This window comes from Homo sapiens, chromosome 16 (genome assembly GCF_000001405.40).
Source record: "Homo sapiens chromosome 16, GRCh38.p14 Primary Assembly".
In the NCBI taxonomy this organism is placed as follows: domain Eukaryota; kingdom Metazoa; phylum Chordata; class Mammalia; order Primates; family Hominidae; genus Homo; species Homo sapiens.
In genome coordinates this window covers 75,119,631-75,136,887 of record NC_000016.10, presented here as the reverse complement: position 1 = coordinate 75,136,887, position 17,257 = coordinate 75,119,631, and the positions used below count along the sequence as shown (strand labels likewise).

Here is a 17,257-nt window from a genome sequence, read left to right as displayed (position 1 = left end):
CTTTTCTTTTCTTTTTTGAGACAGGGTCTTGCTCTGTTGCCCAGGCTGGAGCACAGTGTCACGACCATAGCTCACTGCAGCCTTGAACTCCTGGACTCAAGCAGTCTTCCTGCCTCAGTCTCCCAAAGTAGCTAGGACTACAAGTGAACACCATCACGGCTGGCTAATTTTTGTATTTTTTTGTGGAGATGGGGTTTCACCATGCTGTCCAGGCTGGTCTTAAACTCCTGGGTTCAAGTGATCCTCCTGCCTCAGCCTCCCAAAGTTCTAAGAATACAAGCTTGAGCCACCATGCCCAGTCTATATCTATAAATAGTTCTATATGTAATTAACTGTATCTGTATTAAGTTAAACATGAGTTGTTACTGATTCTTCAATTGTAATTCATTATCATATGGATCATTCTGGCCTCCTTTCTCACTGAACTGTAAATTTTCAGTCAACCAGTGAGAAGCCTGGCTCCTACCATTCACCAACTATTGACTATTGTTCCAGTATACATGTATAGCCATAGTAGGACTGTCGACGAGTATCCCTGCAAAAAACAACTTCATTGACTTGAGTACAGTACTGACATGTAGTTCCTTTTGCCTTTACTTTTACAAATTCCATTCAGTTCCAAAGTTACTTATGTCAGCGCCTTTTTCCCCAACCCTCTTCAGTGGGGCTGTTTTATACATTTAGAAAGAAAAAGTTAGATTCTCTTGCCACCATCTGCATTTTTTCCTGGGACTCCCCCGACTTCCTAAATGATCTTTTAAAAATTTGCCTTAGCTGGGCGTGGTGGCTCATGCCTATAATCCCAGCACTTTGGGAGACAGAGGTGGGTGGATAACTTGAGGTCAGAAGTTCGAGACTAGCCTGGCCAACATGACGAAAACCCATCTCTACTAAAAATATAAAAATTAGCCAGGCATGGCGGCGGGTGCCTGTAATCCCAGTTACTCGGGAGGCTGAGGCAGGAGAATCGCCTGAAACCCAAGAGGTGGAGGTTGCAGTGAGCCAAGATTGGGCCACTGTACTCCAGCCTGGGTGACAAAGTGAGACTCCGTCTCAAAAAATAAATAACCAAATTAATTAATGAATAATAAAGATAAAAACTTGTCTGTATTGTTTCACTCAGTGTGGTAAAGTTCTATAGGTTTTGACAAATGCACAATGTCATGTATGTACCATTATAGTACCATACAGAAGGGTTTCACCACCCTCAACATCCTTTGTTCTTCATTATTTATCCCTCCCACCTTGAACACCTGGCAATCACTAAATTTATTCCCTCCCAGACAGGGTCTCACTCTGTTGCCCAGACTCGAGGACAGCTTTGAACTCCTGGGCTTACCAATCCTCTCACCTTGTCCTCCCAAAGTGTTGGAATTGATTACAGGCTGGAGCCACTGTTACCAGCTAATCACTAATCTTTTTACTGTCCCTATGGTTTTATCTTTTCCAGAATGTCATGTGGATGGAATAATACAGTATATAGTCTTTTGAGACTGACTTCTATCACTTAGCAATATGCATTTAAGGTTCCTCTGTGTTATTTTGTGTTAAGGTTCTTCTTTGTCTTTTTGTGACTTGATAGCTCATTTTTAGAATTGCTGATTAACGTTCCACTGTATGAATGAGTGAAGGATCTCTTGGCTGTTTCCAGTGGTTTTTTTTTTTTTTTTTTTTTTTTGAGATAAGGTCTCACTCTGTCACCCAGGCTGGAGTGCAGTGTTGTGATCATGGCTCATTGCACGCTGTAACTCCTGGGTTCAAGCAATCCTTCTACGTCAGCCTTCTAAGCAGCTGGGATTACAGGCACCAGCTAGTTTTTTTTGTTTTTTTTTTGAGATGGAGTTTCACTGTTGTTGCCCAGGCTGAAGTGCAATGGCACGATCTCAGCTTATCGCAAACACCGCCTCCTGGGTTCAAGCGACTCTCCTGCCTCAGCCTCCCGAGTAGCTGGGATTACAGGCATGCGCCACCACACCTGGCTTTTGTATTTTTAGTAGAGATGGGGTTTCTCCATGTTGGTCAGGCTGGTCTTGAACTCCAGACCTCAGGTGATCCGCCCGCCTCGGCCTCCCCAAGTGCTGGGATTACAGGCATGAACCACCACGCCCAGACAGGCCTGGCTAATTTTTTTTTTTTTGAGGCGGAGACTTGCTGTGTTGCCCAGGCTGGAGTGCAGTGGTGCGATCTTGGCTCACTGCAAGCTCTGCCTCCCGGTTCACGCCATTCTCCTGCCTCAGCCTCCTGAGTAGCTGGGACTACAGGTGCCCGCCACCACGCCTGGCTAATTTTTTGTATTTTTAGTAGAGACGGGGTTTCACCATGTTAGCCAGGTCTCGATCTCCTGACCTTGTGATCCACCCGCCTCGGCCTCCCAAAGTGCCGGGATTACAGGTGTGAGCCACCGCGCCCAGCCCAGGCCTGGCTAATTTTTAAAAATGTTTTTTGGGGATGGGATCTGGCTATTGATGCCCAGGCTGGTCACAAACTCCTGGGCTCAAGTTCATTATCTTTAATGACCAACTTAATATTACAAAGAAGCCAAATTTCACAAAATTAATAAACTAATTATTGAATTCAATCTCAATCAAAATTCCAATTAGAATTAAAAAAATTTTTTTGAGATAAAATTCACCTAACATAACATTCAGAATTTTTACCATTTTAAAGTGTGTAAGTCAGTAGTTCTTAGAATATTCATAATATTGCACAACCATCACCGCTATCTAATTCCAGAATATTCTCATCATCTTGAAAGAAATCCTATACCTTTCAATTCCCTGTCCCCCAATCCAGGTGGAATTTTTAAGGCCTAAAACTTATTGTTATTATTATTATTTCTGAGACAGGGTCTTGCTCTATCGCCCAGGCTGGAGTGCAGTGGCACGATCTTGGCTCACTGCAACCTCCACCTCCTGGGTTCAAGAGATTCTCCTGCCTCAGCCTCCCAAGTAGCTGGGGCTACAGGCATGCACCAGCACGCCTGGCTAATTTTTGTATTTTTATTACAGACGGGGTTTCACCATGTTGGCCAGGCTGCTCTCGAATGCCTGGCCTCAAGTGATCCACCCGCCTCAGCCTCCCAAAGTGCTGGGATTACAGGCGTGAGTTACCATGCCTGGCAGAAGATCTAAAACTTATTCTAAAATGTACATGGACACACAACATCATCTGTGAAGTAGTCTTGCCAAAGAAAGCGGAATCTGAATCCAATCAAGCCTCTGAATATGTGCTGTCCAATATAATAGCCACTCAAAATTAAAATGAATTAAAATAAAATTATGCAGCCATGAAAAAGATCATGTCTTTTGTGGGAACATGGATGGAGATGGAGGCCATCATCCTTAGGAAACTAACACAGGAACAGAAAACACAGGTTCTCACTTATAAGTGGGAGCTAAATGATAAGAATTTATAAACACAGAGAAGGAAACAACAGATGCTGGGGTCTATCTGACGGTGGAGGGTGGGAGGAGAGGAGCAGAAAAGGTAACTATTGAATACTGGGCGTAATTCCTGGGTGATGAAATAATCTATACAGCAAACCCCCATGACATGAGTTTACCTATGTAACAAATCTGCGCATGTACCCCCGAATCTAAAATAAAAGTTAAAGGCCAGGCACGGTGGCTCACACTGTAATCCCAGCACTTTGGGAGGCCAAAGCGGGCAGATCACCGGAGGTCAGGAGTTCGAGACCAGCCTGGCCAACATGGCGAAACCCTGTCTCTACTAAAAATACAAAATTAGCTGGGCGTGGTGGCATGCACCTGTAATCCCAGCTACTTGGGAGGCTGAAGCAGGAGACTCGCTTGAACCCAGCAGGTAGAGGTTGTGGTGAGCCAAGATCGCACCACTGCACTCCAGCCTGGGTGACAGGGCAAGACTCCGTCTTGAAAAAAAAAAAGTTAAAAAATCTTAAAATGAAATGAGGCTGGGCGTGGTGGCTCATGCCTGTAATCAAGCACTTTGGGAGGTTGAGGTGGATGGATCACCTGAGGTCAGGAGTTTGAGACCAGCCTGGCCAACATGGTGAAACTTCATCTCTACTAAAAAAAAAAAAAATACTAGCCATGTGTGGTGGTGAATGCCTGTAATCCCAGCTACACAGGAGGCTGAGGCAAGAGAACCACTTGAACTCAGGAGGCAGAGGTTGCAGCGAGCCGAGATTGGGCCACTGCACTCCAGCCTGGGCAACAGAGTGAGACTCTGTCTCGGAAAAAAAAAAAAAAAAAAAAGAAATGAAATGAAATAGACAATTGAGTTACCTTAGCCACATTTTGAATGCTCCATAGCAATGCATGACCACTGGCTACAAAGTGGGAAGCGCAGATCTAGCATGGTTCCATCAGAGCAGAAAGTTGTACTGGCCAGCATCTCACCTAGATATAATAGTTCATAAGAAATACAGAGATTAGAGAAATATATTCAATACCACAAGGATGCAATCACCCAAATACAGAATATGGAAATTTCTACAGAACAAATGACCCTGCTTCATTTTTTTTTTTTTTGAGACAGGGTCTCACTCTGTTGCTCAGTGGCATGATCTTGTCTCACTGCAAACTCTGCTTCCCAGACTCAAGTGATCCTCCCACTTCAGCCTCCCAAGTAGCTGTGACTACAGGCATATGCCGCCATGCCTGGCTAATTTTTTATATCTTTGGTAGAGATGGGGTTTCGCTATGTTGCCCAGGCTGGTCTCAAACTTCTGACCTCAAGTGATCTCCCCGCCTTGGCTTCCCAAAGCGCTGGGATGACAAGTGTGAGCCACCATGCCTGGCTTACCCAGTTTCTTTAACAAATACATGCCATGAAAAAAGGAAGGGGGAAACTTGCAGATAAAAAGATTTATGAGACGCATCAACCAAACTTGATTTGAACTAACCAACTGTAAAACAGACATTTTCTTTTTTTTTTTTGAGATGGAATCTCTGTCACTCTGTCGTCCCGGCTGGAGTACAGTGGTGTGATCTTGGCTCACTGTAACCTCCACCTCCTGGGTTCAAGCGATCCTCCCACCTCAGCCTCCCAAGTAGCTGAGATTACAGGTGTCTGCCCCTGCACACGGCTAGTTTTTTGTATTTTTAGTAGAGACAGGGTTGTATCATGTTGGCCAGGCTGGTCTCGAACTCCTGACCTCAGGTGACCCACCCACTTCGGCCTCCCAAAGTGCTGGGATTACAGGCGTGAGCCGCTGTGCCTGGACAAGATAGACATTTTTTGAGACAATCCAGGTAAGCAACGAACCGAGGTGGACATATAAACTCATTCAAATATGGCAGGGGTGAAGGACCCAGCTAGGATGAGAGGGGAGTGTGTACCCAGCTAGGATGAGAGGGGAGTGTGCACTCCCGATTTGATGGGAAGAAAAACGAGGGTAGGTAGATCGTTGTTTTGGTGATGTTAGCAACGTGATGCTTCTCATTTGCTGTGGGAGGAAAACGAGCTAGGAATTAGCTTCAAGAACAGCAGCCGCATCACTCCAGGATGGTCCTGAGCTCTGCCCCGGGGAGGGTGAATATGAAAGAGTTGTGAAGTCTTTTCTTTCACCTACCTGGAAAACTGCTGCTCATCCTCAAATTTCCTCTTCCGGGAAGCCTCCCTGGCTTGCCCCACTGCCCAACCCCATCCCATCCTGAAAGCCCTCCCTGAGCTTCCCTCCTCATGCTCCTGAGGGTGGCCCACTCTAAGTGGGACACTGATACCTAGACTTGCAGGGTGAGGAAGAACTGGCCAGGTGGAAAGCCTGGAGAATATGCCAGACCGAGGGCACAGCGTGTGTCAAGAGCAAGCCTGGCTAGAGCTTGAGGCCCACAGGGACAGAAAGGAAAGCTGGATCTTAGGAGGTCAATGAGGAGGTTGGGAGGAAGCGGGATATAGGAAAGATGATAAATGGATATCAGGCCCTAAAAGGTGCCAGATCTGTGGGGAGGTCAGCAGGGCACAGCAGGATTTTTAAGGCCACTGCAAGGGCTTTGCATTTGTTTGAGGGGCCACAGGAAGCCACTGAAGCGTTTTAGGCCGTGGAATGGTCTTTATCCCTCAGTTTTGTCAACCAAAAAAAAAAAAAGAATCAAACTGTAAAATACTTGAAGGGATTTACTCATGTGAGTATTACGGTAGGTAGCTAGGCAGGCATGAACAGGGCAAGAGAAGGCTCCCCCTCCACCCAACAGGAAAGTCAGGCCACCCTCAGGTGATGGTCAGGCAGTTACACTGTTTCTCTAAAATAACAGTTGGTGGCAGCCTGCTCCAGGGAAAGGCAGTTTCCCAATAGATACAAAAACCTGAAACGGATGATCAGCTTCCCAATAAGATCTCAGGAGTTGGGTGACTGAGCTTGAGCATGCGTACTAAGAAGCAAAATGATGGAGTTTAAGAGATATATGACCTTCTAGGAACATTCAGCTGGTAAGGGAAGAAAGCCTCAAGTCAGCATGCGTACAAGGCCAGTCAACAAATTGCACGTTTCCCTCCCAAGCGCTAGCAGGCCACTGACCATGTGGACAACCCACCTCAAAAAAAGAATCAGGGGAGAAGGGCTGCAAGACCCCCAGAAGCGTGCCACCATATAAAACTCCAAGTCAGGCTGGACATGGTGGCTCATGTCTGTAATCCCAGCATTTTGGGAGGCTGAGGCAGGCGGATCACTGGAAGTCAGGAGTTTGAGACCAGTCGGGCCAACATGGTGAAACCCCATCTCTACTAAAAATACAAAACTTAGCCAGGTGTGGTAGTGCATACCTGTAATCCCAGCTAGCTACTGGAGAGGCTGAGGCAGGAGAATTACTTGAACCCAGGAGGTGGAGGTTGCAGTGAGCCGAGCTTGCGCCACTGCACTCCAGCTTGGGCGACAGAGTGGACTCTGTCTGAAAAAAAACAAAAAACAAAAAAACCACAAGTCAAAAGGTCAAACCACACACTTGTCTTTCAAGTTGCCCTCTTGGCCCTCTTCCAAGTGTACTTTCCTTCCTTTTGTTCCCACTCTAAAGCTTTTTAAATAAAATTTCACTCCTGCTCTAAAACTTGCCTTGGTCTCTCCTTCTGCCTTATGCCTCTGTGAACCCCAAAAATCTGAGGCAGATCTCAGTTAATTTAGAAAGTTTATTTTGCCAAGGTTGAGGACACATGCCCATGACACAGCCTCAGGAGGTCTTGGTGACATGTGCCCAAGGTGATCACAGCACAGTTTGTTTTTTTACATTTTAGGGAAACATGAGACATCAATCAACATATGTCAGATGAACATTGGTTCTGTCTGGAGAGGCGGGACAACTAGAAGTGGGGAAGGTTTTCCAGGTCATAGGTAGATAAGAGACCAATGGTTGCATTCTTTTGAGGTTCTTATTAGCCTCTCCAAGACAGGCAAAAGGATACGCATTTATCTCAGTGAGCAGAGGGGTGACTTTGAATAGAATGGGAGGCAGGTTTGCCCTAAGCAGTTCCCAGCTTGACTTTTCCCTTTAGCTTAGTGATTTTGAAGACTCAAGATATTTTCCTTCACATTCCCCCTTTTTCTTTTTAAAAATCTTTTAGAGAAAGCATTTTAGAAGAAAATCAGTCTCTGATCTCAGGTTTCATCTGATCTCTCATGGCTAGGATGGTTTATTCCTAGACAGGTAAGTCCCTAGTTGCTAGGAAAGCTCATTTTTAGAAGGTTGTGAAGTCTCACGTCCTCTGAAGAGAAAATAGGGGGAGGAAAGGAGAACAACAACAAACAAAAGAACAATCCTGAAAAATTGATATAGGCCACATTACTCCGAAGTCCATACATCAGTAGACAGATACGAAAGTGGCTGGCCCGGCGCGGTGGCTCACATCTGTAATCCCAGCACTTTGGGAGGCTGAGGCAGGCGGATCACCTGAGGTCGGGAGTTTGAGACCAGCCTGACCAACATGGAGAAACCCCGTCTCTACTAAAAATACAAAATTAGCCAGGCGTGGTGGTGCACTCCTGTAATCCCAGCTACTTGGGAGGCTGAGGCAGGAGAATAGCTTGAACCCCGGAGGCGGAGGTTGCAATGAGCCAAGATTGTGCCATTGCACTCCAGCCTGGGCAACACAAAGAGCAAAACTCTGTCTCAAAAATAAACAAACAACAAAAAAAGTGGCTTATGTATATAAATATAAATAGGTTGCTGTTATTTTCTTCTGAAGTTTAAGTTGTCCAGCTTCAGTTCACAGGGCTTTATGAAAACACAGCTTAGTTTTCAGTGACTCCAGATTAGGCAAAATGGGGAAAAAAAGAAGGAAAAATTTGAAAACATTATTTTGAAGACACGTTGCCAAGAAAAATTAGAATTTGGTTCAAACTGTAGATAATAATAAGAATTGAAAAATATTAGACAAGACTAGAATCTAACAATGAGTGTTACTATAGTTTTGGAAACATAATTTTCCTCTCTCTAGTTTCCTATTTTTACTAAAGACAAATCATGGTAGGACTGGTTTGCTTTATTGTACTTGGCCTAATTATTTGTATACACTACAGCAAAAATAATTAATGTTTACACAGGCTTTTAAACTGGTTTTGATGGAACGTTGTCCCAGAGAAGGAATCTCAGATAAGACTTTTTTTAAAGCCGAGCCCAGCCATGAATTTGTACCATCAAATACTGATGAGTTGGGTAAATTCTTCTCCTCTTGAGGTTCCAAGATAAACGTGGGGCTCCTGGGCCCCACAGTGACATTCTTTACTTACCACAGGTCAGGAACCCTTTACAGGGACTGTGTAGACAAAGGTATGAGGCCAGTTTTTCAAGGGGCTTTTATTGGCTCCATAAGTGAAGTTTGATTCCTTAAAGGAAAGCACACCGTTCTGGTCAAAGTCTTGGTAAAAATAACTAGTTTCTCCAATGGTGTCCTGTTACAAATGAAAACAGATTCTTTTTGCACTTATGCAAATAACTGTATTGTCATAAGTTAGGAATACTCACAAATAGTTTCCAAAATCTGTAGAAATCAGGTAGAGAGAAACAAATATGCTCTGAATTTTGTTCTTGAGTATACTTAACTCAATTGTTAAAAGTTGTAAATAGCTTAAAAGTTTTCTTGACTCTGAAAAGCAAAACAAAGATCAGCAATGTTTTAAGCAAAAAGTTAAAAAGATTACTTCAGACTTCTATTAGTTTAGTCCATGCAGTTAATTCCTGTTCTGCTTGATATTCATGAACATTTCAGCCCTCCCTGAATCCTGAAAGTTTTTCCTTTATGCTGATGTCACAATCTCCAAAGTTATCAGAAACCTGCATTCAAGAGCACCTGTTAGGCCAGACACAGTGACTCATGCCTATAATTTCAGCACTTTGGGAGGCTGAGGCCAGCGGATCTCTTGAGGCCAGGAGTTCAAGACCAGCCTGGCCAACATGGCGAAACCCCATCTCTACTAAACATACAAAAATTAGCCAGGCGTGGTGGTACATGCCTGCAGTCCCAGCTACTTGGGAGACTGATCTCCTCATGCTTCCCTCTTCATGCTCATGCTTTTTTTCTGAGACAGAGTCTTGCTCTGTCGCCCAGGCCGGAGTTAAGAATCACTTGAGCCCAGGAGGCAGAGGTTGCAGTGAGCTGAGATCATGCCACTGCACTCCAGCCTGAGCAACAGAGGGAGACTCTTTCCCTGCCCAAAAAAAGAGCACCTGTTAGAGTTTTAGAGTTTTACAGCTGATTATAAAACTACCTTTTATAAAATCAGTTTTATAGCTGATTGTAAAACCAAAGAGGACCAAAACAAGACGATTATCCGTGAATGACAAAAAGTTTTAGAGCAGCCATAGTCAAAGATACAATTGGCAAGGAAATTTGTTACTTCTGCAGCACACAATAATTTAACATAACAATTATGGTTATTACTGATAATGTACATTAAGTCAGATCAGAATTATAGGAGTTTCTCATAATTTTGGGACACATACCAATAACATATTTATAGGAATACAGCCCAAAGAAAACCAAACACCATTTTATATTTGACAATGCTTCCTGTATAATTTTTAGACCAAATAAGCCAAATATGTCATTTTTGGATTTTAGAGAACCTATTAATAACATTTTAAAAGACTAGTTAGGTCAGAAAAAAACATAATTTATAATTTTATCTTGGAAAGTTTGTCAAATATCAAAGGTATAAAACACTTGATATTACAAAATAGGATTACAAGTCATTGCAAAATAATTCATTTAACTGGCTGGGCGTGCTGGCTCATGCCTGTAACCCCAGCATTTAAGGAGGCCAAGGTGGGTGGATCACCTGAGGTCAGGATTTTGAGACCAGCAGGCCAACATGGTGAAACCCCATCTCTACTAAAAATACAAAAATTAGCCTGGTGTAGTGGCGCATGCCTGTAATCCTAGCCACCCAGGAGGCTGAGGCAGGAGAATCACTTGAACCTGGGAGGCAGAGGTTGTAGTAAGCCAAGATTGCACAATTGCACTCCAGCCTGGGTGACAGAACAAGACTCTGTCGAGGCGGGTGGACTTTGCAAGGCTGAGGTGGGCAGATCATGAGGTCAAGAGATTGAGGTCATCCTGGCCAACATGGTGAAAACCTGTCTCTACTAAAAATAAAAAAATTACCTGGGCATGGTGATGCACGCCTGTAGTCCCAGCTACTTGGGAGGCTGAGGCAGGAGAATCGCTTGAACCTGGGAGGCGGGGGTTGCAGTGAACCGAGATCGTGCCACTGCACTCCAGCCTGGCGACACAGCAAGACTCTGTCTCACAAAAGTAAATAAATAAATTAGTTAATTAATTAAAAGAAGAATTCATTTAACCAAAGTGATAACTCAAGGATTTAAAAAATACAGTGAAAACCTTCATTCTTTTTTTTTTTTTTTTTTGAGATGGAGTTTTGCTCTGTTGCCCAGGCTGGAGTTCAGGGGGTTGATCTCAGCTCACTGCTCACTGCAACCTCTGCCTCCCAGATTCAAGCGATTCTCCTTGCCTCAGCCTCCTGAGTAACTGGGATTACAGGCACCTGCCATCATGCCTGGCTAATTTTTGTATTTTGGTAGAGATGGGGTTTCACCATGTTAGCCAGGCTGGTCCTGAACTCCTAACTTCAGGTGATCTGCCCTCCTCGGCCTGCCAAAGTGCTGGGCTTACAGTCATGAGCCACCGCACCCGGCCTGAAAACCTTCATTCTTTAAGAGAAGAGATTTAAATGATAAGCCCTAGTAAAAACAACATGAAGCCAATTAAATTTGTTTTCCAAAATTTTATAAACAATTTATAAAATTTTCATCTTGATCATAAAATACAACTTCCAGCTGGGCACGGTGGCTCAGGCCTGTAATCCCAGCACTTTGGAAGGCCCAGGTGGGTGATCACTTGAGGTCAGGTGTTCAAGACCAGTCTGACAAACATGGTGAAACCCTGTCTCTACTAAAAAAATACAAAATTAGCCAGGTGTGGTGGTGCATGCCTGTAATCCTAGTTACCTGGGTGGGTGAGGCAGGAGAAATCTCTTGAACCTAGGAGGTGGAGTCTGCAGTGAGCTGAGATTGTGCCATTGCACACCAGCCTGGGCGACAAGAGCCAAACTCCGTCACAAAACAACAAACAAACAAACAAAAGTACATACAGGCAGATAGAAGGATGTGATAATTTTAATTAAAAAAAAATTTTTTTCGAGATAGAGTCTTGCTCTGTTGTCCCAGCTGGAGTGCAGTGGCATGACCTCAGCTCACTGTAACCACTGCTTCCTAGGTGCAAGCAATTCTCCTGCCTCAGCCTCCCAAATAGCTGGGATTACAGGTGCGTGCCACCATGCCTGGCTAATTTTTGTATTTTTAGTACAGATGGGGTTTCACCATGTTGGCCAGGCTGGTCTCAAACTCCTGACCTTTGATCCACCCACCTCGGCCTCCCAAAGTGTTGGGATTCCAGACCTTAGCCAGTGAGCCCAGCCCATTCCTCTTTCTTAAACTACCAGCCATTTTACTTTAGTACTAAATTTATCATACAAAATTCTTTCTCATATGAAATTATTTCTCTTTAAGCTTTCTTACCAAAAAAAAAAAAAAACCTCTTTATTTTTATAACTTTTTTTTACATCTCTTTTATTCCCTGGTTCCTTTTACCTTGCTTTTTTTTTTTTTTTTGAGATGGAGTCTTGCTCTGTTGCCCAGGCTGGAGTGCAGTGGCACCATCTCAGCTCGCCGCAAGCTCCGCCTCCCAGGTTCATGCCATTCTCCTGCCTCAGCCTCCCAAGTAGATGGGACTACAGGCGCCTGCCGCCACGTCCAGCTAATTTTGTTTTTGTATTTTTAGTAGAGATGGGGTTTCACCGTGTTAGCCAGGATGGTCTCGATCTCCTGACCTCATGATCCACCCGCCTCAGCCTCCCAAAGTGCTGGGATTACAGGCGTGAGCCACCATGCCCGGCCCCTTTTACCTTGTTTTATACATGACCTTTAAATTAGCTTTGAAGCCGGGCGTGGTGGCTCACGCCTGTAATCCCAGCACTTTAAGAGGCTGAGGAGGGCAGATCACCTGAGGTCAGGAGTCCAAGACCAGCCTGGCTAACATGGCAAAACCCTGTCTCTACTAAAAAATATCAGAATTAGCCAGGAGTGGTGGTGGGTGCCTGTAATCCCAGCTACTTGGGAGGCTGAGGCAGGAGAATCGCTTGAACCTGGAAGGCAGAGGTTGCAGTGAGCTTTGTACCACTGCACTCCAGCCTGGGCAACAGAGCAAGACTCTTGTCTCAAAAAAAAAAAACTTTCAATTAGACAAAAATTGTTCACCTTTTTCAAAAGGACACACTTATTTTTTATTTGTATTTTACTTTTTTTGAGATGGAGTCTCACTTTGTCACCCAGGCTGGAGTGCAGAGGCGCAATCTTGGCTTACTGCAACCTCTGCTTCCTGGGTTCAAGTGATTCTCCTCCCTCTGCCTCCCGAGTAGTTGGGACTACAGGTGCGTGCTATCAGGCCCAGCTAATTTTTTTTTGTATTTTTAGTAGAGACAGGGTTTCACCGTGTCGGCCAGAATGGTCTTGATTTCCTGACCTTGTGATGCATCCTCCTTGGCCTCCTAAAGTGCTGGGATTACAGGTGTGAGCCACCACACCTGGCTGGGACACAACTTTTTTTAAGAAAGAATGTTTTTGGCCTGTGTGGTGGCTCACACCTGTAATCCCAGCACTTTGGGAGGCTGAGGTGGACAGATTGCCTGAGCTCAGGAGTTCGAGACCAGCCTGGGCAACATAGTGAAACTCTGTCTCTACTAAAATACAAAAAATTAGCCAGACATGGTGGCATGCATCTGTAGTCCCAGCTACTTGGGAGGCTGAGGCAGGAGAATTGCTTGAACCCTGCACCACTGCACTCCAGCCTGGGTGACAGAGGAAGACTCTTTCTCCAAAAAAAAAGAATGTTTTCCTACATATATATATATATATATATATATATATATATATATATATATATACATATACACACACACACACACACACATTCTTATATATATATTTGTAGGAAAACATTCCACAAATATATATACACATATATATATATATACACATATATATATTTTAGACAGAGTCTCTGTGTCGCCCAGGCTGGAGTGCAGTGGCATGATCTTGGTTCACTGCAACCTCCACCTCCTGGGTTCAAGTGATTCTCCTGCCTCAGCCTCCTGAGTAGCTGGGACTACAGGCATGCACCACTGTGCCCAGCTAATTTTTGCATTTTTAATAGAGATGAGGTTTCACCATGTTGGCCAGGCTGGTCTCAAACTTCTGACCTCACGTGATCCACTCGCCTTGTCCTCCCCAAGTGCTGGGATTACAGGTGTGAGCCACTGCACTTGGCCCAAATATATTTTTATTGGAAAATACCCAAATAATAAAATCTCTATTATTTAACTTTAGATTCAAAATTATGAGTTTGTCTATATTTATCCTATAATATTTACTTATTTTATTTTAATTACTTACCTAGATTATTTATAAAAACTGTGCTTGTCATTATTTAAAATTATGGAACTGCCATTGCAAAATTATCACTGAGACAGTGAAAAAGATTGCACCTAAGTGACTCCATCTTGCTTCTAACCTCCAAGCTGTTCTTGTTCATTCCTGGGCATAGGCCAAACTAACTTTGGGAGGAACTTATAATTTAGCTTTGAAACAAAGATGATAACAGTGCTTTTCCAAAACAAACACTATTGCCTATAGACCGGACTGCCTAAAGCCACAAGATGAGAAGTTATGGTAATCTTACTAAATTTAAGATGTAGCTATTTTTATTAAACCAATATTAATGTCTTATTTATTAAAGATTTGTTAAATATAGTGAACTCCAAGTTTCTCTTCAAAGAATCAGTATGTCAGTATGTTCAGCTCTCTTATTCTTTGATTCTCCATTTTAAAGTTTAGCTTCCTGGTTCTCTTTGCCCCCTAGCTTCTAGTTTCAGTAAACAACTTTCCCGCCAGTCCTAATCAGTAGTTCACAGCTGTTCCCCTGGTCACCTGCTTTGACCTGAGTCACTCTTGGTCACCTACTCTGTCCTGATTCATCCTGAGCCAACTGTTCTGTAACCGCCCTTACTGCTAAACTACTCACCCTGCCACTCCGGCTGGTACTCCTGCTCTTTTTAAAATAGTCAATTGGAATTAGCTTAGACTGTGCGGTCCAACCCTATCCAATAGGGGAACGACACAGCAGTAGGGGCTACCTGCATGAGGAATAAGAACTCCTGCCCCTCCCCTGTCCAAGTGTGCTCTCACCATTGTTTCATCTGCGAGGGGCACCTTTTCTGCAGAAAGTGAAAATTGCCTTGCTGAGAAAACTAAATTTATGTTTGAGTGCTATTTCTTTGTGGCACTGGGGAATAAGCATTTTGCATTTCTAACAAGCTTACACAAGCAAAGATCATTCTGTTTTGGGCTGGGTATACAGTTTTGTAACCCCTATGAGAAATTTTGACACCTTATAGTATTTGGCAGGGATAAGTATGAAACTGCTGGATTAATATGCAAACAAAAATGTATGCTGGCAATTCTTCAGACATTTCTAATATTACTTTACCAGTAATTTTAAGGCTAGCTTATTTATTAATAATTTTACTGAGTTACATAAACTTGAAAAAATATTTGACGAGTCTTTTTTCCTGATAAAGCATTTCATTCGAGCACTTTTATTTTCTTAAGCCAGTTAATTAGAGCTCTTTTAAGCATTTTCAGTAGTGAAGCATTGTGTACACAACACATAAATACATAGACGTATTAGGCATGCTGATAGAAGTACATCTTATGGATACACTCAGATTATTGATAACCTGCTTCACAACCCTAGGCAGTTGTCAGCTAACTAGCCTTATGTTTGCATATTAAAGGAAACAACTCAGGTGAAAATCAAATAGCAAAATTTACATCATAAGGTACAGAGAGAAAAAGTCTGATGGTGCCAGAGGGAGATGAAAGATGAATGCCAAATCAAACATAAAATTAAAGAAATTTGCCGGGTGTGGTGGTTCATTCCTGTAATCCCAACACTTTGGGGGGCCGAGGTGGGCGGATCACAAGGTCAGGAGATCGAAACCATCCTGGCTAACACGGCGAAACCCCGTCTCTATTAAAAATACAAAAAATTAGCTGGGCGTGGTGGTGGGCGCCTGTAGTCCCAGTTATGTCTGTACTCTCTGGAGTACAGAGATCACCCCACTGTACTCCAACCTGGGTGACAGCGAGACTCTGTCTCAAAAAAAAAAAAACAAAAAAGAAATTTATCATAGGATTGTATAAGGAGACTAGTTTTATTTAGATAAAGGGACTACCTTTTAAGTGGATCTCTGAGCTCTGGGCAGAGCCCACACTGAATCCTGGGTCTCCAAGAAGGGACACTTATTATGAGGTTAGAACACGTGATGCTTTTACAGTGCACTTTTTAAAAAACTTCTTTTAAACAAAGACATTTCTAAGTGTCTAAACCATAGTCTTCCTTAAAAACCCAAGGGTAGGCTGGGTGCAGTGGCTTATGCCTGTAATCCCAGCACTTTGGGAGGCTGAGGCGGGCGGATCATGAGGTCAGGAGATCGAGACCATCCTGGCTAACACGGTGAAACCCGTCTCTACTAAAAATACAAAACAAACAAACAAACAAACAAACAAACAAAAAACAAGCTGGGCATGGTGGCGCTTGTAGTCCCAGCTACTTGGGAGGCTGAGGCAGGAGAATGGCGTGAACCCGGGAGGCGGAGCTTGCAGTGAGCCGAGATTGCGCCACTGCACTCCAGCCTGGGCGACAGAGTGAAACTCAGACTCAAAACAAACAAACAAACAATACAAAAAACAAAAAACAAAAAAACCCAAGGGTAACCTCTGTTGCAATAACTATTTTAGTCAAAAAAAAAAACAAAAAAAAACCCAAAAAAAAACCACAAACAGGTAACAACAATACAAAAGTAAGCAGTTGAAGAGACGAGACGAACTTGCCTGTTTACACTCTGGGGATTGCATAAGAAAAAACAGGTTTCTCCCTTAAAGGGAGCCTGGTGCCTTCTCTGTTCTCTTTAAGGAACCCCAGCTATTATAAACTATTTTAGGTCCCTCATGCAGCAGAGGGTGCAAGAGAAAGGAGATACAGCCGAAGTAAATGAAGAAAACAGAATTCAGTCAACTGAGAAGAAAAAAACTTTCGCTCAAAAAAAGACAAGATTCTTGGAGAAAAACAAAAACAAAAACATGAAGTCCTTTTAAATACAAACACACACACGCACATGCGCACACACACACACACCACACATACACATGCACATCTTCGATGTTAGCTTTTAATTAAGCTGACTTTTAATCATTGAGCTCCTTTAAAAAAATCTTTTAAAATCTCATTACCATATTTCAGCTAGGACAAATTGCTGCTATTTCAGAAGCACAGCCATTGCTCTTTCAGTTTGGCCTGGCTAGCAAAAAGGTGGCCTCGTTGTGTAACTAAAGCCACTTAGTAGTCAAAATAAAAAATCTTTCCTTTTTTTTTTCCTTTTGCTGGCTGTTTTTCACCCCCTATCACATCATCCTTTGTGTATGTGTGTGTGTGTGAATTTAGCCACTTCAGAGGCCTTGTTCCCCATAATTTGGGACTTCCTTTGTATTTGATCAAGTCAGATAGAGTTGATCAAACCCAATGGGAAAAAGACTGAAAGAACAACAAAAAGAGAAATGAACAACAACAAAACAGTTAAGCAAAACAAATGATCACACAATTTATATGATTACTAAGCTTTCTAGTGGTAAGGAGAAATTAAGACCAGCTG

General features: G+C 43.2%; 1 protein-coding gene across 1 annotated transcript in view; it reads right to left on the bottom strand.

Annotated features, from left to right (window-relative positions):
• ZFP1 (ZFP1 zinc finger protein) overlaps positions 1 to 17,257 on the bottom strand; it is a 53,233-nt gene that overhangs the window by 35,347 nt on the left and 629 nt on the right. Inside the window, exons 2-4 of the mRNA XM_011522921.3 lie at positions 10,576 to 10,712; positions 8,937 to 9,057; positions 4,266 to 4,379 (exon numbers count right to left, since the gene is read on the bottom strand). Coding sequence (XP_011521223.1) covers positions 4,266 to 4,300 — 35 coding nt within the window. The 5' untranslated portion in view covers positions 4,301 to 4,379; positions 8,937 to 9,057; positions 10,576 to 10,712. The remainder of the gene's footprint in view (positions 1 to 4,265; positions 4,380 to 8,936; positions 9,058 to 10,575; positions 10,713 to 17,257) is intronic.